This window comes from Homo sapiens, chromosome 11 (assembly GCF_000001405.40).
Source record: "Homo sapiens chromosome 11, GRCh38.p14 Primary Assembly".
Classification (NCBI taxonomy): domain Eukaryota; kingdom Metazoa; phylum Chordata; class Mammalia; order Primates; family Hominidae; genus Homo; species Homo sapiens.
The window spans coordinates 43564845-43585298 of NC_000011.10; the positions used below are offsets into that span (position 1 = coordinate 43564845).

General features: G+C 49.7%; 2 protein-coding genes, 1 long non-coding RNA gene and 1 other non-coding gene across 7 annotated transcripts in view, besides 5 other annotated features; 3 read left to right on the top strand and 1 right to left on the bottom strand.

Moving 5' to 3' along the window:
• Positions 1-20454, top strand: part of HSD17B12 (hydroxysteroid 17-beta dehydrogenase 12) — a 299895-nt gene that overhangs the window by 8124 nt on the left and 271317 nt on the right. Inside the window, exons 2-3 of one of the 4 annotated variants that reach the window (XM_024448573.2) lie at positions 11754-11767; positions 19716-19830. The gene's annotated coding sequence lies outside the window, so the exon portion shown is untranslated. Of the gene's footprint in view, positions 1-11753; positions 11768-14308; positions 14673-14787; positions 14900-19715; positions 19831-20454 lie in introns of those variants that run through there. The other 3 variants (XM_024448571.2, XM_024448572.2, XM_047427074.1) reach the window with 3 other exon arrangements.
• On the bottom strand, positions 726-16591 carry LOC124902807 (potassium/sodium hyperpolarization-activated cyclic nucleotide-gated channel 4-like). The gene is made up of 3 exons (XM_047428006.1): positions 16173-16591; positions 14530-15166; positions 726-1001 (listed from the first exon to the last, which is right to left on the bottom strand). Exons 1-3 carry the CDS (start codon positions 16589-16591, stop codon positions 846-848), a joined length of 1212 nt encoding a protein of 403 aa, XP_047283962.1. The 3' UTR covers positions 726-845.
• MIR670HG (MIR670 host gene) lies at positions 4462-5556 on the top strand. Its single transcript, NR_131246.1, has 2 exons — positions 4462-4729; positions 4923-5556. It is a non-coding gene; the product is annotated as an MIR670 host gene (long non-coding RNA).
• Positions 10511-11253: an enhancer, noted in NCBI's record as "H3K4me1 hESC enhancer chr11:43596905-43597647 (GRCh37/hg19 assembly coordinates)". NCBI's record gives its function as "activates a minimal SCP1, AML or CMV promoter by ChIP-STARR-seq in naive and primed H9 embryonic stem cells {active_cell/tissue: H9 hESC(naive and primed)}" and the evidence as "EXISTENCE:reporter gene assay evidence [ECO:0000049][PMID:30033119]".
• Positions 12175-12469: a silencer, noted in NCBI's record as "tiled region #5565; HepG2 Repressive non-DNase unmatched - State 20:ReprD, and K562 Repressive DNase matched - State 12:CtcfO". NCBI's record gives its function as "represses a minimal TATA promoter and a strong SV40 promoter by Sharpr-MPRA in HepG2 and K562 cells {active_cell/tissue: HepG2 | K562}" and the evidence as "EXISTENCE:reporter gene assay evidence [ECO:0000049][PMID:27701403]".
• Positions 14365-14414: a silencer, noted in NCBI's record as "silent region_3268". NCBI's record gives its function as "represses an Ori minimal core promoter by ATAC-STARR-seq in GM12878 lymphoblastoid cells {active_cell/tissue: GM12878}" and the evidence as "EXISTENCE:reporter gene assay evidence [ECO:0000049][PMID:35858748]".
• Positions 14515-14774: a silencer, noted in NCBI's record as "silent region_3269". NCBI's record gives its function as "represses an Ori minimal core promoter by ATAC-STARR-seq in GM12878 lymphoblastoid cells {active_cell/tissue: GM12878}" and the evidence as "EXISTENCE:reporter gene assay evidence [ECO:0000049][PMID:35858748]".
• Positions 15835-16634: an enhancer, noted in NCBI's record as "H3K4me1 hESC enhancer chr11:43602229-43603028 (GRCh37/hg19 assembly coordinates)". NCBI's record gives its function as "activates a minimal SCP1, AML or CMV promoter by ChIP-STARR-seq in primed H9 embryonic stem cells {active_cell/tissue: H9 hESC(primed)}" and the evidence as "EXISTENCE:reporter gene assay evidence [ECO:0000049][PMID:30033119]".
• MIR129-2 (microRNA 129-2) lies at positions 16550-16639 on the top strand. Its single transcript, NR_029697.1, has one exon. It is a non-coding gene; the product is annotated as a microRNA 129-2 (primary transcript).

Sequence of the window (20454 nt, forward strand, 5' to 3'; positions counted from 1 at the left end):
AGATGAGGGATGAGGATTAGAGGACAGGCAGAACGGGTTGAGTCTTTCTTCTTCTTTTTTTTTTTTTTTTTTTGAGACAGATTCTCACTCTGTCACCAAGGCTGGAGTACAGTGGCACTGTGTCGGCTGGCTGCAACCTCCGTCTCCTGGGTTCAAGCAATTCTCCTGCCTCAGCCTCCCAAGTAGCTGGGATTACAGGTGCCCACCACCAAGCCTGGCTAGTTTTTATATTTTTAGTAGAGATGGGGTTTCACCATGTTGGCCAGGTTGGTCTTGAACTCCTGACCTCAAGTGATCCACCTGCGTTGGCCTCCCAAAGTGCTGGGATTACAGGCGTGAGCCACCATGCCCAGCGAGTCTTTCTTCTTATAGTCAGTGGTCCTCAGGCCCTTCGAGGAAGTGGCGCCTTCACGTTTTCTCCTCCATGTAATCAGAAGTCCACCTTCTCACTGGACAGCTTCCCTCCACTGACCTCAGGAAGTGGAGGATGAATAGGAGCAGCCAAGCTAATTAGAGGATTGAAGGCAGGGTCTTTGTCATCTATAATTAAGGAGAGGTGCATCCTGTGATGTGAGCTATACAGCCTCTGCCTCCCCTAGCTGGTCCAAACCCCAGTGAGTCAACACTGACCCTTAACCAGAGGTAGGTGAACAGAGCCTAGCATAGTTACAATAAGGGTAGATGGAGTTATGGCTTATAGCTACTGAGAAAAATCCATTACTTACCCTCAGATTATTCTTAATGGCAGCTCCTGAAAACTGTCTTTTCCTTTAAGGTACAGGACCTAAAGAATTCTACTCTTAAATTAGCTGTCCCAGCTGTCAGTCTTATAGCTCATTCCCAAATCATGAGGTCCAATGCATTTTCCAAATATGTAATGACTCCCTTTTGTTCTGCGTGGCTTCGCAAGGTATCTGAGAGATCATCTTAGAAAATGAAAAAGAGGTAAAATGCTTCATCCTAGAAGTAATTTTTTCCTCCTCAGACAGTTTGCACTTGCCCTGTGGAAATGAGACAATGAATGAGAAGGAACACCAGATGCTTCTTCCATCGGTCCTGATTGGGACTTAACAAGGTGTGCCCCACTGCTCAGTTTCCCCTGACCCTTTGAAACTTCTCTCAATGTTGGATGGAACTCCACTTCTGTCTGTTCTGGAGAACCCAGCCAGGGCCCAAAGAGGGGATGCTCTGTATTTCCGAATACCAGTTTCTACACTTAACAGCTATGTTTGACTTTGGACAAATTATTTAACCTCTCTAAGCCTCAGTTTTTCAACTTGAATGTAGAAATTGTAATAGGGACTGTTTCATTGAGTTGTCATTAGCATTGAGTGGGATGATGTATACATACCTCTTTGCACAGTACCTGAGGTTAATAAATATGGGGCTCATTAAATATTAGCTATTGTTACTCTTGATATCTTGCCAGCAGAAAAGGGGTGAGGAGCTCTCATCAAATATTTTTAACCTTCCTGAATGGCAAGTCTTTGTCTTATTCTGGGTTCCTTCTGAACTGTGTATCATCCTGTAAGTAGGTGAACACAGAGCCTCTTGGGTACCTAACAAGAAGCCAGGCCACTGCTAATCAAAATCAGGCAGTGAGCAATTGTTAATTGTAAGAAAGACCAGGAAGATTTCCCGTCATCTCTTGGGGCTCCTACTATTGCACTGATTAACTGTGACCCAGAACTTTTTTTTTTTTTTAGATGGATTCTTGCTCTGTCACCCAGGCTGGAGTGCAGTGGCGCAATCTTGGCTCACTGCAACCTCCTCCTCCCGGGTTCAAGCAATTCTCCTACCTCAGCCTCCCAAGTAGCTGTGACTACAGGCGCACACCGCCACGCCCGGCTAATTTTTGTATTTTTATTAGAGACGGGGTTTCACCATATTGGCCAGGCTGGTCTCGAACTCCTGACCTCATGATCCACCTGCCTTGGCCTCCCAAAGTGCTGGGATTGCAGGCGTGAGCCACCACGCCCAGCCCCCAGAACATTTAAAAATAATAATAATAAGATCTGTGCCCCGATAGGTTAGCCGACTAGTTAACCTGAGGAATTTCAGCAGGGAAAGGACTGCAGAAAAACTTGGTTCAGAGCTTCAGTAGACTCTGTCTTGCTCCCTTTATAACAGTCATATTAGGTCTTTTGTGTGAGAAGGATTCCGTGTCCATCACTTAGTTTATCAGAGAATGTGTTTTTAAAGGCTCCTGAGAGCAGGCAAGAACAATTTCCCTCATCCTGTTGCTGTTAAGTGGGATATACAACCATCCTGATGCAAATCTTTTTTGGGAGAGGAAGGTTATCCGGGCTCCATGACTCTTCTATAAAAAGTTTATAATAAGGTCCTTTAATGGCTGTCACTCTAGATATTTGTGGGAAGAGAATGACTGGAAAGCTAGAACACATTCAAAATCCAAGGGCCAGAAAAATTTTAAGCTCCAGCCTCAGCCTCCGATCTCCTGGGACCAGCCCCATAAGAACCATCCATTCTAGCCCAACTTGCAAATGGAGCCCAAGAGTTGAACCTCGGCATGGGACTCAAGATGTCTCTAAAGTTCAAAAACACCTGGATTACCTGAAAGCAGAACCGGGTCCAGGTCCTGTGCTGAGGTCTCCAGTTTTCTCTAAGTAAAATATTTCTAGTGGAGAAAAAGCCTGTGGCCTCTGGGCAGAGATTTGTTCTATAGAGAAATGAAGGAAATGTGCAAGAGAGAACAGTTTTACTCTGGAGCTCCCTCTACTGGCTCTTTGATAGAAATCCATCGCAGTTATTCCGCCCTGCCTTGTGGGTATCAAGTTAAAGCATCCGAGCATCCTGGCACCTTGAAGCAAGGAGAAAAGGTGTCCTGAGGTGCCAAGGAAGATGAAACTGCAGATACTGGTTTCTTCTGCCTCTTTTACAATTTCATCTAATGTTTTGGGGGTGCCAAGATAGTGCTAAGCATTTTGTGTGCATTATTTCATTTAATACTCACCATAAACCAGCATTTTACAAATGAGGCAGCTGAGACCTGAAGGGATTAAATAAGTTCCTGGCATCACCATAGACTAATAGACCCCCTTAGTGACCCTCATAATTCTTATGATTCTCCTGAGTGACAACTCAAGAGAAGCAAGAGTCAACGGACAATGTGAGGTTGGAAGTGGCACTTGATCTCATCACCTAATATAAAGAGGCTCTGAGATTGCGCCATAAACTTCCTAGGTCCTATAGAATCTCAGCCCTGTTTGTTTTTTTATTCTTTTAATTTTATTTATTTATTTATTTATTTAAGACGAACTCTCACTCTGTTGCCCGGGACGGAGTGTGCAGTGGTGTGATCTTGGCTCACTGCAACCTCCACCTCCTGGTTTCAAGCAATCTTCCCACCTCAGCCTCCCGAGTAGCTAGAATTACAGGCATGCACCATCACACCTCGTTAATTTTTTCTGTATTTTTAGTAGAGAAAGGGTTTCACCATGTTGGCCAGGCTGGTCTTGATCTTCTGACCTCAAGTGATCCACCCGCCTCAGCCTCCCAAAGTGCTAGGATTACAGGCGTGAGCCACTGCACCCAGCCTCCTGTTTGTTTGTTTTTTTTTTAATTCAGCCCTCGAGGCAATTAATTACATGGCAAGGCTTTGTCCAATCTGCACTCTCACTGTGATGCCCAAGTTGAAGAAAGCAGGGAACTACCACAGTGACTAAGAAGAGTTTCCATGACAGAAGTGAGGCCTTTTAAAATTTGTGGAACATGTTCACGCCTACTTTTAAAATAAAATTCCATGAGATAGGTAGGGCAGATAGTGCCCACACATTTTATAGGTTGGGAACTTAAGATACTGAGTGCCTGTTTCCAGGTTTTGTTTAGGGGCAAATGGCAGAATCAAGACCAGAACTGTCACTCTCAGCTTAAGTTCTGACTTTTTGGTTGGTGTTGGTTGGAACTCAGAGTCTAGCATGGGTTTTTTAATTACATAAAATAAAGACTGTGAAGCTACCTTCTTGTTTTACATCCAGATCCTTTCCTGAGTCTCTCTGTTTTGGGCTAGTTCATAATTGAGCTTCCTTGATATTGAGTCATTTGGGAATTGGGAATGACATAAGCCACTCATCTTATTACTGTTGGTCTCTCACCAGTCCACATTTTAGAGATATCTAGGTCCCTGAGAGAATCCCAAATATTATTTCAGTTCTCCTGTAGCTCATGAAGCCATAAATATTTCACCTCACCCAGGAGAATCAAAGCATTTTCACATTGGTTCTTACTGGGGAGTTGAGATATGGGTAAGTAATAGGAGTCCCATTCCTGCTTTGGCTGGGGTTCGGGTCTCCAATTTCACTGCCAGTGTGTCTCTAAATCTACACAGTGGGACAGTGGCTACAGCAGACATCACTCAGCTCCCCACTCCTGACTTGAGACCTTCCACTAGTTGCCCCTTCCCCTAAAAACAGAGTGATGTCATAATGGTATCAGAATGGCACTTGCTGATAACAACACAGAAATAACAAGGGCAGACTTTCTGCAGTGTCTCCTGAGCAATTGGTTGTCATTGTCCTAAACAGAGCAGCTAGGTTAAAAAGATTTATCCATAATGTAACCTCCTGGCCCTCAGCTATGGGTGGAAGCAGCACTTTCTGGTTTGACCTCCTAATACCACAAACTCCACTTTGCCAGAAAAGTGACTTCTTGATGAATAGTCTGTTCAGATAGGCCAATTTGGAGTATATTCATATTTGGCCACCTGCTGGTAAGACTGATCATCCCCTTGCCCAGCTGTAGCTTTGAGCATCTGCCCCCATGTTGCCCCCATCCCCAGTAAAGCCAAAATGGTCCCATCGAAGGAGGGGAGGGGAGAGCCTGGAAATGAACACTCCCAGGGAATTGTGAGTGATGGAATGTGGATTGCTGACACCATGTCCCTTTCCTCTTGCTTGTTGTAGGAGCGTCAATGACCAAGAGGAGACCAGATGAGTTTTCAAAGCAGTCCTCAAACACCCAGGACACACCTCATCCTTTACCTCGTGCTTTCTGCAATGTTGCTGTTCATGTTCATCTTCCTATTAACATTTGCCATAATAACCCCTCATTGACCACCATCATTCCTCCATCCACCACCAACTCAGCTCCTTCTCTAAAGTGCCCTCTAATGGGCAGTGGCTTTGGTCTCTGTTTGGCAAATTATGTCCAGAGGGTTAACATTAATTTCTCTTTCTCCTATTCCTCCCTCATGCTAGATTCAGTCCATCACTCAGCCTCCTGTCAGGAAAACCATAGCAAATCCTACTTTCTGCTAAAATGAAGTTACAAGACACTTTTCCAGAGTAGTCACACTCAATGAAGGGACCCAGGGTGTATCTGAGTGTGATGTAATTGAAACCACATGGAAAGACTAGAAATACCTTGCTCCCAGTCAGATATAGTGAAACAGCTTACTCAAGACTGGACTAAGATTTAGAATATAGGGGGGCTAGGGAGGAGAAAGAGAAAGATCCTCAGAAGTGGATTGTCCCTGAATACAGGATGAAATCATCTAGATTTTTTTCTCCAATTAAATTTGCATTTCATTCAACCACATTGCAATGGCTTCATACTGGGCATTTTCATTTGAGACCCAAGGCTTTTCTTCATGGGTCCTGAGCCACAGGTTCCTGGATGGTGAGGTAAGTGGCATTTGCCCGCACTGTCTAGGGTGGTTTGTAGTGCTTTGATAAACCCTGTGCTGATGAGTCAGATCCACCCTGTTAGGCCCTAAAATTTGTCCTCTATTGGTCCCTCTTTACCCAAATGCTCTTCAGGGATCCTAGCCCAGACATAGATGTTAGTCCAGCCTCACAATGTTAATTTAGACCTCTATAAAACCAAAACAGATCCTGAGGATTGACCAAACCAGAATTTGTTGTCTCTTTCTCAAAGACAATCACTACTACAAAAAGTGTAGCTCTCTGAAAACCCACCATACCTAGAAAGTGTATTTTCTCCCCTCCCCTTTTCTTTCTACTTTTATAGGTAAGCTAGCACTGATGGAAGATACCAGGTTTTCAAATGTGAACTGAAGTCTCTCTTCTCATGACAAGATTCAGATCCAATTCATTATTTAACTAATAGCCTCTCCAATAAGTACAAAAAATCTTGCCTATCCAGCAGATATGTTAGTCCATTATTCCTCTATGTCCCCCAGCCTATACTTATTAGACTAGGAATTAAAGAAATACAATCCCCATTCTTTACTCTTGGCCTACCAGATATAGTGATCCAAGCTTAGTAGATCAGCAGCTAATTGCAAGGCTGCTTTAATAGTGAATGAATAAAAAGTTCTGCTAATTCAGACCTACCCAACACCCATGAATTTGTGATTGAGCTATCTCTCTGCCTGCTGAATTCAGGTAGATAAACAACTGTCCTTCAACCACAAGGTTAAGGCTAAACTTATGCAGGTATCTCTAAACATGCTGCAGATTGTTCTTTTCTCTCTGTGGCCATGCTTCCCAACCCCTGACACCTTTCTATTTAGCCTCTGCTAAGCTCAAGTGTGCTGGAATCCTGATCCCTGCCCCAGCCTCAGCCCCCTATCATGTGCTTGCTTTAGCTCCCCTGTCTTTGCTGAGATCCTCACCATGAAACCAACTCTAGGTATTCCTGAGTGACTCTCTAGGTTCTCATTCTCTCCAATGTGCCTTTTATCAGCAAGGCATGGGAAAACCTATCATCTGGTTCTCCAAGGTGTCCAGCAGTTAGAATGGCTGAGAGGAGGGCATTTGAGTTTGCCCATCGATAATGGGGTTGTGCGAAAAGCAGATATTGTCTCAACTGTTCTGAAGTTGAACAATGTTACTTTCAGGTGAATAGACTGTTGAGACTATTTTGAGTTGTTGATGGCAACCAAAAAAAAAGGGGGAAGGGGTGGAATTACAGTCACTTTCCTCCAGCATCCAGTGGTCCTTAAAACTTTCACCCTCAAATCTCCAAATATGCTGGCTTCTAAGAAGTGCTTTCCAAGACCGAATATACTTCTTGATCAGGGTAAGTGATGAAAATGTGTATTTAACAAGGGGAGGGGATCTTGAAATAGCCTGAATTATGCATGCTGTGGCCTATCTACCCCCACCGTGCTAATGGCTCAGCCTATAAAGTTTTCAGAATCAGAAAAATAATCAGAGATGCTAGTTTCTGAAGGAGCGACGGAGGACTAGGATGACTAGCTAACTCAAGGTGCATGTAGACTTTCTGCTGTTCTTACTTTAGGAAAGGTTTCTTGGAAGACTGGACCAGGGAGTTCCTAATTCTTCCCTGGACCATCTCAGGGGCATCCTCGGTGTGAGTGGAAGCATGCTTGGATGCAGCAGCCTGAATGAATGTCAAGTTCACTGCATCTCCACCACAAACTGGTTGGTTTCAGGCAAATCCCTTGAGTTTTGGATGAGGCTAAACCAGCTAGGGCTTTCCTTGAAATAGGATGGAGGGGTCTCTTCTCACAGGCAGAGAGCCTTATTCAGGGGGCATCTATTCGCTAACAGGCTTCTTAGGAGGAATAGATCAGTCTCGTTATTCAGAAAATGTCTGAGAAAGTCCCAGACACCTCCAACTCCACATGTTGGGGGATAGACCTGGAATATTAAAGATCAGAGGTTGGAATCGAGGCAACATGATGGAGTGATGTGGCATGAGTATTGGAGCCATACAGATATGAATTTGATCTGATCCTTAGTTTTGTAACTTCAAGTTCTAAGACTTTTAGACAAGCTGTTTAAACGTTATGGTCTCCATTTCCCTAGCTTTCAAATGGGAAAAATAATAACTGTTTTGGGAGTGATTTCTATGCTCAACAAGCCTAAGGGGTAGGTACCATTATCATAATGACACCTAGAGAATTGCCTTAAGGATTAAATAAAGCTTCTTATGTAAAAGTGTCCGGCACAGTGTCTGGCATATAGTTGAAGCTGAAAAACTATTGGTTTCTTCTCTCTCCCTCTTTTCCTTAGGCCAAAATAGTTCTGCTCCCTGATGAAGACACCTTTAGGAAAAGAGGAATCCTTTTCCTAGACTTCCTCCCTGAGGGACTTCCCTTGGTTGATATCATGGGAGCTGGACTGTTTTTCCTTCTCCAAATCCAGTACATTACCTACTGGCATTTTTCGTGGTGCTTGGGGAGGAGACAGTCGACGCAGGCAGGAGTTTCTGGGCTTCGCTCACCCTGAAAGAGAGGAGACTCAGTTCTTTTCAAGGGCTTCGTGATAAGCAGCCTACTCCCACAAGCCCTCTGGGGGAGCATTGGGGGAACGAGTCCTCCTCATGCTTGGGATGCTCTGGAATGAGCTGGCAATGCAGAAGGCGGTTTTCACCTTGGACAGGTTCCACATCAGTCTATTCATTTGCAGGGTCTTTAGCTTGACTGCTCAGACAGGAATTGGGCACCACAGCCCTTAGTACAGGATGATGAGACAGCTCGGGAAGCCAATTTCACCAGCTCCAGCCCAGACATCCTCCAAAGGACCTGACTGAGGAGTAGGGGAAATGGAGATGCTAGCTATGGAGGTCTAACTTTCTGCAGATGTTTCTGCGGAGCTTCCAAGCCCCTCTCTGTCTTGATTACTGGAGCAAGACAGAAACAAGGCAGAGAGGCGCCCTCTTCTGGGAGGGAGGAGCAAAGACATTGAATCCACCAGGAAGCCGGCGTTACACCAGCATAATTTTGGCTGCTGCCCTTAAAGTTCTGATGTGCATTTCTTCCATTTCCAACGCTACCTTACTTGTTAGGACTAGATTCTGGGTTTGCTTAAAAGTTGTTAAGTGATTTTAAATGAATCTGTCTTGATCTCAACATCAGACACAATAACACTCAGCCACTATATACAGCATAGAAAGCAGTTACATTCTAAAGTGCCCTGCTCTGTATAGTTTCAATAGTCCAAACAGAAACCATGTGGCTTCTGTGAATGTGCCCACACACATGAATTTATGCTTACACATACCTAATTTCATATCTAAAAACATACCTACTCTGTGCCTTTAAAAACATGTTTAGCCTGACATTTTCATTAATCCAAGGAGACTTTATTGAAACACTGCCGGCGTCTCCTGTCCATCTGGCCACATTTGATGACCCCATGTGATAAGTCATCTTCAGTGCAAGAACCAGGGCCGCCTCCCTCTCATTGATATTTCTCCTGACTGCACACCTCCCAACTGCAGCAACATTCTCACATGCATGCATGTATGCAATCGTGAGCTAAAAATAAACAGCTGCTGATGGGCTGCCAGAGGGTGTCCTCCATACACAGCAGACGTCCTCTGTCTCCCTTTAGTAGGCACAGCTAAAGCCACAGACAGGAATTGAGGGTAGTGGATGGGCTAAGCTTAACCCCAAATCTCTCAGGCAAGTTACAAAGAGTAGGAGATCCTGAAAAGGGAGATGACACAGCTGAGGCCCATGATCATTCTCTCCCAGGCCTTGTGCCCCAAATCCAAGTGATAACCTCTGGAAAAGTGTTTACTGGCATCAAAGGAAACCATTGCAGGGAAGGTCGATAATTAGGGTTAAGAAAGAAGATCAGCCATTCCTCCAGCCATGATTGTAAATAGCTCTCTGCTTTCTGGTTTTCCCCCTCTCAGGGCAGAAGTTATCCAAGTGGATCTAGGATATGTGTGCATTTAAGGAGGGTGATTTGTGTGCATGTGGTTTTGTTCAGATCTTCCAATCTGCAAGAATTCTCCCCACCTCCATCACTCATCAATCAAGAAACCCTTTGTCATGCTGAGGTGTGGCATTTCTTCTGCTGAAAACCTCAGATTCAGACACACCCCACACACCCTGAGACACACACATCCACACACACATGCACACCCTTCCTCACCCTTAGGAAGCAAGCTCCATTCAGATTGGTTTAAAAATAGCACTAATCCATTGAGCTCATTTTTCAGGGACATTATTTTAAGCAGAAAAAAGATATCCTGGTCTTTGAGAGGGAGAAAGGGTAAACGTCACCTCGCCTTAAAAAGTCCTGATAATGTCGCTGGAGACTAAGCATTTGCAGTCTTTGTTGAATTTTCTCCTCCTCCTACCATTCAACAAAAGTTATTTATTCCAGAATACCCTGCTATCTGGGTATTTATAGAGGTGAGTTTCCTCTTCGGGTGGAGAGCAGAGGGGAAAGCCGCAGTAGCAAGCCGGACACTCCCCTCTGGGCGCTCCCCACCGCCAGAACTGACGCCTTCGAGGGCGGTGGATTTGTGAATCAGCTCCCCTTTCCCCCACACAGGGGAGCCCCTAAATGGCTGCTGGCCATTTGCAAAGGGTTGTGTGCATGTGTGTATTTAATTGCAGGCTTATTTGTTTCTGCTCTGGGAGTCTGTCCGTCTCTCTGTAACTCGGATCATTGCTCTCTGGGAAGCTGTATAACTGGCTGATTCCGTGGGAGACCAGGCAGGATGCGTGGGCGCAGGAAACAGAAGAGGGAAAAGGAGGGAGAAAAAGAGAGCAGGAGGGAGAGAGCGGGAGCCTTAGAATCTGTTATTTGCGTCACTCGAGGAGCCGGGGCTATCTGCCCGACAAACACACAGAATTAATCCGAGTTACAGCCATAGCTGTCTATGCTACAGTGACCAGATGAGAAAGGGCGGGGAAAGGACGCGCGCGGGAGCGTGTGCACGGCCGAGTTTGCATTGGGCGTCTTGGGAGAGTTTGGGGAGGGGGCTGTCCTGCTGGGCACGCCCCTCGGGGCCCCGCTTGCCCGGTGCAGACTAGGCTGCAGCCTGCTCTGCAGCTGCCCAGCCCAAGCCTGGGGTGGCGCCCGCCTCGGCCGCCTCGCCTGCTCAGTGGCTGCGTGGAACACAAAGCGCTGTCTCCGAGCAGAAGCGTCTTCTCAGCTGAACCAGACCCACCAAAGAGGAGAATCTGCACGTGACGTCAGTAGCTGATGACTGACGCAGGCTGGCAAAGGAGACTCAAGGCGGCTGCTCCGCGCTGCCTTCATGAGTCTATTTTCTCCAGCCCCCTCGTAGTGAATTACTAGAACGCAAAACACACACACAGACACACATATGCAGCTTTCAAAATATACATTTCCAAAGGCGGTGTGTTGCAAACACAACGCGATTTTGCAGAGCGTGGGTGGGAAACGTGGGAAGGGTATGGATGATTTTTTTTTTCCTCATCTGGGAATCTCCATCGTGGATAGCAATCGCTTCTAGAGCTCTCCTGGGAAGCTCCTCTGGGGAAGGGGCTATGCCCCCCCACCCCCTACTTTCCTCAGCATGTAGGGAATCTGATCAATGGAGACATGCAGCTCTAAGAATACAACCACTCCAACGCCTTCTGCTCGGGGAGACTGCGAGGAGCTTGCAACAGGCAGAGACAGATGGGAGTTAACGGGAGGGAGGGAGAATATAAGAAATATTTGGGTATTTTTCTGATTTGAAAAACATTTTCTGCAGTTATGCAAGTGAGTCTGGTGGTGCAGGAAAAAAAAGTGAGGAGGGGGCGTTTAATGCACATTTAATGTTTTGGAAGTAAGGTTCCAGCGAAATGCCTTTGTGTGTGGAGGTTTTTTCAGTACTTGCTAAAAATAGCATCAGGGTTTGATCGTGTTCCAGAAATAAACCGAGGGCTGTACTGGGATAAAAAGCCAGCGCGGGTGGAAGAAAACCTGGACATCACCGCATTCCTCCCCCCACAACTATGTCTGGAAATTAATTGTTGGATTTTTCCTCTCCTCTCTCCTCTTTCCATCCACTTTCTCTTTCCTCCCCCTATGTTTCTCTTTCTCTCTCTTAAGGAGTTCCCGTTTGGGTAAGTAATATTATGTCATGTGCATGCCGCAGACTGTGAGTATGAGCTGACGCTTACTTTGTGCATGCTCCGGGGTTCTTTTTTGGCTGCCTTTTTTGCCCCTTCTAAAGAGGATAGTGGGACTGACTAGGGGGTAAGGGGTGTAGCTGTGTGCGTGTGTATGTGTATAATGAATTTGGGGCTGCATGCAAAGAAACCGAGAGAGGGAATTCTTGCAGAGCCGGGAATCACCCTGACGAATCTCTGAATCAATAGCTGCTGCAACTCTCTCTCGCGTTATGGGTCGGCGCTGTTGAGCTCGGTTTTCTCGATGGCCCCCTCCCCTCCCCATTTTCTCTGTCTTAAAGGATGGCCAGACACGATTTAATGGGCCATATCTCTGAGAGATTAATGGAGACTGTGCAATATAGATCAAAATTGCATGGATGGGGTTGGGTAAAGAGAGGGAAAAATCTCTACTCCTTTGACAAACCTCCCTTTTGGTTCCGGTCCGGGAACTAAGGACGGCGACCCTGGTTCGGGCTGGCCCAAGACTCGGTTGCTGTCCACGGAAGATAGGTGCTGAAAATGCCTTGGTCCTCAGTGAGTTCAGTTCCGTGCGCCAGGGGGCGGGGTTGGCGCCAGCTGCGGTTAGCCCCGCCCTGGATGCAGGAGAGGGATACGGGGACGAGAGGGTTAAGGATGTTCAAAGGGATAGTCGTGACTTCGGTGAGAGCTTTGGGGGGAAGGAGGGGTGAGTGGGAAGGAAAGGAAAAAAGATTTAAAGGAGGGGGAGCGAAGTGTTAGATTCGAGGATGAGCCAAGGCCCGGCGTTTCAGGAATGGAAGGCCAGTGGCTCACCGGCTTTCCCTGCAGAGGCCAGGCACTATCCGGGTCTCCATTCCCAGGATCCCGCACCTTCCCGCCAGTGGGTTTGAAAGATTTCTCCTCGGTGATGGTGACTCAAAATAAGAGCCTATAGGTTGTTTTATTCGGACCCTCGTCCCCTCCCACTTCATGCCCCCCATACCCCCGTATTCTGTAATTCCCGGGAGGTGTGTAAAGTAGTGTGGTGTGGCATTTTTCTTATTATTCCCCCCTTTTCGCATGCTAGTCATAGAAGCCCCAAGTGAGTTGGTGGAATTAGTGAATTAGAAGCCAAAGCACAGGAGTTGCTGGTGCGATGCGCAGAGAATCCAAGCTAGGGAACATCGCGGGGCGCCTTAAAGCCAAAAGCTAAAGGAGTCTAAATCAGCCTGAAGGGAAATTGGGGAGGAGGTGTTCTCTAAGTTGCCAAATGTTATTGGGAATACCATCAGCTCTCTGGGGTTGTGGGCTGGACCCAGACTGAGATTCAGTGCAGTCAGCTCCAGACACTTTGGCCGAATCTGTGGCCAGACAGGTGAGGAGGGAGGAAGATTATCAGAGGCAGAGGGGGAATGAGTATCACGCGCACACAAAGACATTCATGCTGATTAACTCCAGGAGAGGGAGAATAAAAGTACATCCTCAAGCTGGCCCGTGAGGATGGGCTGTAGACTGTGGGAGAAATGAAGCACTCTTGCAGGTCTGCAGTAAGATTTGTGTACGTGCAGGAATATTTTATATGTTTATTAAAAAATATAAACTCGGGACGGTGAGGTAAGTATTAGTGGGGCTAGCCTTCAGGACAGAGAAGAGACCAGGTCTCTCTGCTTCATTCACCCCTTCCCTTCTGTCAACAGCCTCTGGCTTTAGTGACCTGACCCCGATACAGGGTAACAGGGGTGCAGCCCGGGCCGGGGGATGAGAGGGTGGGTGAGTTATGTTTAGCTCAGAAGCCGTCCCTCTCTCGGAAGGTTCCCTGACTGAGACTGAATATTCAACTCATAATAGTAACAAGGGCTTTTACCGATGTGCAGAATAACACAAATAACGCTGCAACCCACACTTTGTCTTGACAATTCAGTTCAAACCAAAGCTGCTCACAGCCTCTCGGCCCACCCCGCGGCCTCCTCGTCATTCACTGGGACCTACTGGTTCCCTTTCCCAAGCCTCGCCCCTCTCAGCCCTGCAAGTTGCGTGGTTGTGTTTACAAATTCTGCCACAATTGCAAAGGAAATAGGGGTGGGGGGAGCGGTCGGGGCGGGAGTGGTGGTAGCGCCAATAAAGCACTTGCAACACGTGGAGCGGTGGTTGGGGGGAGGTGTCCAAGAGTCAAGAAGGGGGCGGAGGGACACCCCATGGCCTCATTTCCACCTCCCCATTCTTCCCCACCCCTTCTCATTGCTTGGCACAATGCACAAGTTTACCCCCCGAACTGGATCCTATTAAATAATTCAATGGTAGCGGTGTAATTTTGGTTGGAACCAGCACGGATTCCCAAGTCGTGACTGCAAAAAGTGAGTAATGCGCGCTGGCTGCGTCATGGCTCTAGTCACAGTTCATTCCGAACTGAGAAGGAATCGTGACTTCGCCTGGAGACGTCCCCTACATGGGAGATGGGGGGCGGGGGGGCACCAAATCAGTGGGGACGGGGGTGGGGGGGAAGACCTATCCAATGAAAACCGCTGCCAGGGGGGCATTTGAACTCCGTCGCTTGCTGTCTCGCTGTCCCCTCTCTGCCCCGCGCACCTCGCTCCCCCTCCCGGCCGGCGCTCGCAGTGGCGCGCCTGCTCGCTCTCCCGCTAAGCGACGAGTCTTCAACAAGTTGGAGGAAGGCAGGAACGCAGGGGTTAAGCTCGGAAAGCCGCAATTACCAAGATCGTGACCCTCCCACACAGTACAGTAACTTATATACTTACCTGGAAGAACCCGCTTTGCCGCCGGGCAAACACCCGTGGGGGGCGGGGAGGGGCCGGAGGGAGCGGGCCGGCAGGAGAGGGGCTGCTTCCAGCTGGCTGCAGTGCGGACGGGACCGGCGCGCTCCCGTGGCCCCCAGACCGAGGTAAGGAGCAGGGAGTCGGCGCCCGGGTCGGCTGGTGGTCGGTCGGCTCACTGGTAGTCGGTCGGCTCACGGGTAGTCTGAGCAGAACTTTTTTTTCCCAGTTGCCCCGCGCCGCGGCGGCGGCGGGCGCAGACCGCGGAGCCCCTCTGGCGCGGCGGGCGCGCAGACGCTCGGAGGGTGTGTGCTTGCGTCTGTCAGTCCCGGAGCCGAGGGGATGCCGTGGGAGGGTGAGTGGGTCGCGGAGCTGCAGGAGGGTGATGGATGGGCGAAGGGGGTGGGTCGACAGGGACTTGAAGACAGTGCCTCCACCGTCGAGAGACGTTTTCTCCGGGCGTGCTGGGCGAGGGTGGGAGTGTGTGTGCGCGCGCGCGCGCCCGCCCGCACGTCGATTCCAGGGTGCCAAAGAACAAATATGGCAACTTTCCCCCCAAGTTCTTGCAATGTTTGCAGTAACCCATCCTGGGTGAGGTTTCCCCCACTGGGGGACTATACTGCTAGGGAGGGAGATAGTCAGGACGTCCCTTAGCCCACACCCTGCTTAGGTACTAATGGGGGGGGGGAGGGGCAGGAGAGGATGTGGGAAGGGTGGCGCTGCACTGCGAAGAAGGGCAACCCCTCAAAGTTTGGATGGATGGGATGGAGGAGGGGGCCGAGCGGGATGGAGGAAGAGGGAGGGAGGAAGAGGGAGGGAGGGAGAGTGAGGGAAGGAGATCTCCTTTCTCCCCATCTCTAGTCTTCCCTCCCCTCCTTTCTTCCTCCCGCAGAAGGTGGAATCTCCCGTCGTTGTGGGGTCAGGCAGTCAATGACGGGTTCGCCCCTTGTTGTTCCCCCTAGCATTCTGCAGAATGGGTAGAGAGTTGGGGGCGGGGGGGTGGGCTGCAGAGTTGAAAGTGCACCTGAGGCGAATGGGCCATTAAACACCCAATACTGAGACGGTTTCGGGGAGGATGCGGAGGGAGGAGCTTCACCTAGTTGAGCATTCAGAACTTTGGGTGGGAAAGGGGGTGTTGAGACATTCTCAATTTTCTAGAAATAGGATGACTAGTGTGGAGTTTGGGTTTATTTTATGTTCATCTTTGTCATTTTTCGTCTGGATCTTCTGGCTTGGGTCCCGTTGGGAGAGGTCGCTCTCTTAAACCTCTCTTTCCCAATACATCGCGCTACCCCCTCACTTGGGCTGGAATGAGGAGGGGGTCCTGAACCGCTTTTTTTGGCAACAACAATATTTTAACATGTTCCAGTCTAGGTTTTGTTGAATAATTAGAAATGGAAATATTTTTTTCTCCCTCCCCCTTCTGAAAAAAAAGGGGGAAATGTGAGCTCTCTTCTGATTGGTGGGTGACGATTTTAGTCCGCACCAATGAGCTGGCGGCCTCGTCTGTATTTATTTAGTGCTCTGGGGGAGTTTTTCTCTTTACGCAGCGCCTGTAGTCACGGCTGGAACCTTGGCTGGGGGACTCTGAGGGATAAGAGGGGATTCGGGGGGAATCCGAACTGTACCTGTTCAGAGATCCGCGACCTTGCAGCCGGGGCTGGCGGAACTCTGATAGGGAGATAGAGGGATAGGACAGGCAGGCGGGGAGGCTCCGGGTGCTGGGGCGACAGGAAAGGGGTGGAGGCTGGGCTCCGGGATCCGGGTGCCCCTCTGCGGTCCCCTTCTCGCCCTCCACACACTTCTCTCGGGGCTGAGTTGGGGGATCGCGGACGGTCTGGAGAAATGGAGACACGAGTCCAGGGGCGCGGAGGGGCGGGCAGCGCGCGGAGTGGTGAGACTGAGCCGCGATGGAACGCGCTGGGGAGACCCAGCCTGTTCGGCTCCAGGGTTCGGAGACATCCTGGGCTGAAGGCGGCGGCGAACCGAAGAAGCCGGCATATTCTGCCCTTCGCGAATCTTTTTGCGGTCTGGGCTTGCTGTACATAACTCAATAGCCGGAAGCCCTTACCCCAAAAAGCATTTGCGGAGGGCGCACTCGTCGAGAAGACGGCAGCCATCCAGCGATCGCCGAAGCCCGCACCTTCCCGAAGCTGCTCCATCCGAGCCTTACCCGGCCCTTTCCCCGTTTTCCACGGAAGATTCGGCCCTTTCCCCCGTCCTTTCCGCGGTGCCCGAGGCTTTGGTCACCTGTCTTCCCTCCGAGCGAGTCCCCCGCCCCCAACTTTTTAACAGACTTTGTATCACAGGGGGAACTGGAGCAGGTGGGGTGTGTGTGTTTTCGGAGAAGTGAGAAGAAGCTAAAATGCAATAAAAGTTTACAGAAGTTGTGTCTTCCCCCCAACCCCCGCCCACACCACGAATAACCCCATTCACTCAATGCAAAGAAAAGGATCTGAGCTTAAGGCCAAGTCAGAACCTGGAATATGAATCAGTTTAGGACATTTTGTGGTCATTTTTGACCGTAATGATCCGATTCTGCAATATGGGGGTGGGGAAGCCCTTGAGGGAGGGGCTGGAGGCCCTTAGTATCTTATGTCCTGGTGCGGGGGACCCGGAGGTGAGGCGAGCCGCGGTGAATTGGGTAGATCCGAAAAAGAGGGAAAACACCCAGGCACCGCCCGATCCCCGGAGTCTCTTCCTCCCGCGCCTGCTTCCAACCTAATTTGGGGCGTTTTGCAGCCTCGGGTCTCCCACATCTCCTCTTTTTCAAAACTAAGTAGCACGGAAGGGGGTAAAACAGGCGAGAACTGGGGAAGCCCCCGCAGAGAAGGAGCTTTGGAGAGATGCGGTTGTGCCCGACTCAGACGCTTAGCAGGAACAGAAGCAGCAGCAGCAGCAGCAGCCCCATCCCGGCCTCTCCAGGCGCCGGTCCTGGGGAGGGGGGCAAAGCTGCAGGAGAGGGGAGAGTCTGTGAGTCCCCCTCCTCCCCCTCCACTCATTGCAGTCCTGACCACTTCGGTCACAAGTGGCACAAATCAGGCCTTCACCACGCTCCCCGCGCCCTTCGCCTGCTAGGAACACTGCTAGACGCCCTTGCCCTTAGGGACTGGGCCAGAAGGACACACATACACACATGAGTGCCCACAGGGACAGAAATGGGTAGAAGATGGGTCTAGAGACACCGGAGTTCAAGACCCGAGGGCTGCGAACCTTCACGTTTTCGGGGAGGGCCTGAATTTCCCCCGTATCACAACCACCGTTCTTCCAACAAACTAAACGCCCACCGTCATTAACCTGTCCGCTGGTTGAACACCCGGACTCTACCCTCTCCAGAATTAGGAAAGGGCTGCAGAGTCCGAGGGTGCTGGACAGAGTCAATCTTTTATGGCTAAGACTGTGAGAAGGCACGGAAGGCGAGCACTCCAAGCTCTAAGGCTAAATCAGAGCTTTCCTCCCCAGATAAAGGAAATTTTCCCTCCCTGAATACGTTTTCTAAAAGAGTAAAAAGGTTCCTAAGATCTGCAAAGGAGATGGAGCAAAAAGCAAAAGCTCCGGGGATTTTCCTCCCTGCCTCTCACCTGGGGCCGTCTGTGGAGCGATAGCTTTGCGGAGGGAGAGGCATAAGAACCACGTTAGATTAATAATAGCTTCACCCTGTGTCCCTTCAGCTCCTCTTTTGTCTTTTGCTTCTTACATACCCCTCCTCTTCCCAGCCAGAAAGCCCTCCTCTCTCCCAAAGCCTGAACCTTCACCAGATTTGGGAGAGAGGTGGCCCAAGAGAAGTGAACTTGCACAGAAGAGGTTGAGCCACCGCAGCGCAGGCGGCTCAGGGTTATTGCGACCCTAGCCCCCTCACTTCTCCCTCCGAGGCTAAGTGTGGGACTAGGGCTCCAGGGCCCAAGGAGCAACGGCCGAACCCGGCGTCGTGCGGCACCGGAGCGAGTCCTCTCCTCGCCTCGCCTCGCCTCGCCTCAGCCAGACAACTGTTGCTGCCTTGGAGAAGCTCCTGCTGCTGCAGCTGCTGCTTGGGGCGGCTGCACGCCTGGGGCTGAGGCTGCTCACTTTTGATCGGGGCTGGGAGCTTGCGGAAAGGGGTCTCTCATTCCGGGTGGGATCAAAGGAAGAGACCCCTTCCCCCTTCCCTTCACAATAAGTGAAAATAGGTGGCTTTTTGTGGCTTTTGGTGTCTTTCCTTCCCTCCTTAGGGCGGTTATGTCAGTCTGAGCCCAGTGGGAGCTGATCTCTCCCTCTCTACCCATTTTGCTTTTGCTAAGGAAGGAGGGCAAAGTGGGGGGGGGTGCCTCTATGTACCCTCAAACTGCCGATGCGCATCCCACTTAATAAAGCTACCTCGCCTTTTGAACCAGGGGCCTGATGGAAACTTCCAGGCACTTGCATGTGATGCCAACCTCTGGAGGCCCTATAGGAGAGGGAGCAGCACCTCAGGAACCCTCCTCACCCCAGGCTACTCCTTCCGGGGGTGTGAGAAGTGTTCGGAAGGCAGCTGGGGAAACTTTGTCCCCTGGGCCCAGCCAACTAGCTTAACTTTGCCTATGTTAAAAATCAAGACCAGGGGTTATCTGTGGAGCTAGGGAAGGGTTTCAGGGGCCACAGAGTCCCCTCAAAGTCACCTGCCCCCAGTGGGGAGAGGCAGGTGGCTGGGCCAGGCAAAGCAGTTTTGCATGCCGTCTTTCTCAGGCTCACTCTGACCACACCCTGGGTGATCTGCTCTCCTGCCTCTTCCCCACTCCTAGAGTCTGGAGCCAGATTTCCTCCCTTTATCGGCCCTCTTGTCTCTTCTATCCTCTTTCCCGGACCTGTGGTTGCTTTCAGTCCCTCTGCCTTGCCTGTCTCAGGTTGGAGGCAAAGACAGAAGCATGGGTTGATTCAGATGTGCTTGGAAGGCTTGCTATGATCTCAGACCAGGGCCATCTTCTCTGTCCTGGGGACTTCTCAAACTAGAAGGCTTTGTGGGCATCTCTGGAAAGCTCTGCTCTTGAATCAGCATCCATGCCTTGGTAGCTCTTGGCCCAGATGTGCCCCCTACCCTTTTCCTTTCCTTCAGTCTTCCCACTGCTTGATTTCATGTGAAATGACCCAGCCGCCAATCACTCCCATTCTCCTTCTGAGACAGCAGAGTAACCCTGCCTATCTTTTGGCCTTTTCAGGTGGTCAAACCTGTCCTGACACCCAGAGGTCTGCATGAGGGGTGGCCACTGAAGGAGGAGTTCTCAAAGGCCACAGGTGATGAAGAGCTTGGATGAATAAACTTAGAAGTCCCAGGTGAGTACCAAGATGTCAGCCCATGGTTTCTTCGCCTGAGCAGACCCAAGGGGCCTCCACACATACTTCCCACTTGATGATGAGATACAGGGAAGCCACAGATCCAGTGATTGGAGACTGTCCTCAAAGGCTTAGTCCTTGACAAAGGAAGGCACCCATCACAGAGGTTACAAGGAAGGACACAGTACCTACCGCATAAGGCATAGGACTTCATAGGACTGCATAGGACTTCCTGTCCCATCCCCTAAGCAGGACTTGGGCCTGTGTGTTCAGGAGCCTCCAAACCCTCAGTACTGAGGGGTGTAGGCCCTATTCAATGGGGCCCACTCTTCCTTCTCCACCTCCACTTCCTGGACCATCTGAGGCCTCTCAGGGGCCCAAGGGATGTGCAGAGTTGAAGGGTCATTTGCCATGTGAAGTTTCTCTGAGGACACCAAACGTTGTTATGTCTCCTTAACTGGAGTTCGGCCTAGGATGCATGGGAGAAATTTTAGCCTCTGGATATTTTTTTTGAAGGGTAAGGCATTAAACTCTAAATGCATTTACTTTTCCTATTAACCAGCAAAATCTCTTGCTATAGAGCTTTTGTTTAGCTGCCTTTCTGAGCTTCAAAGTCATACTGTG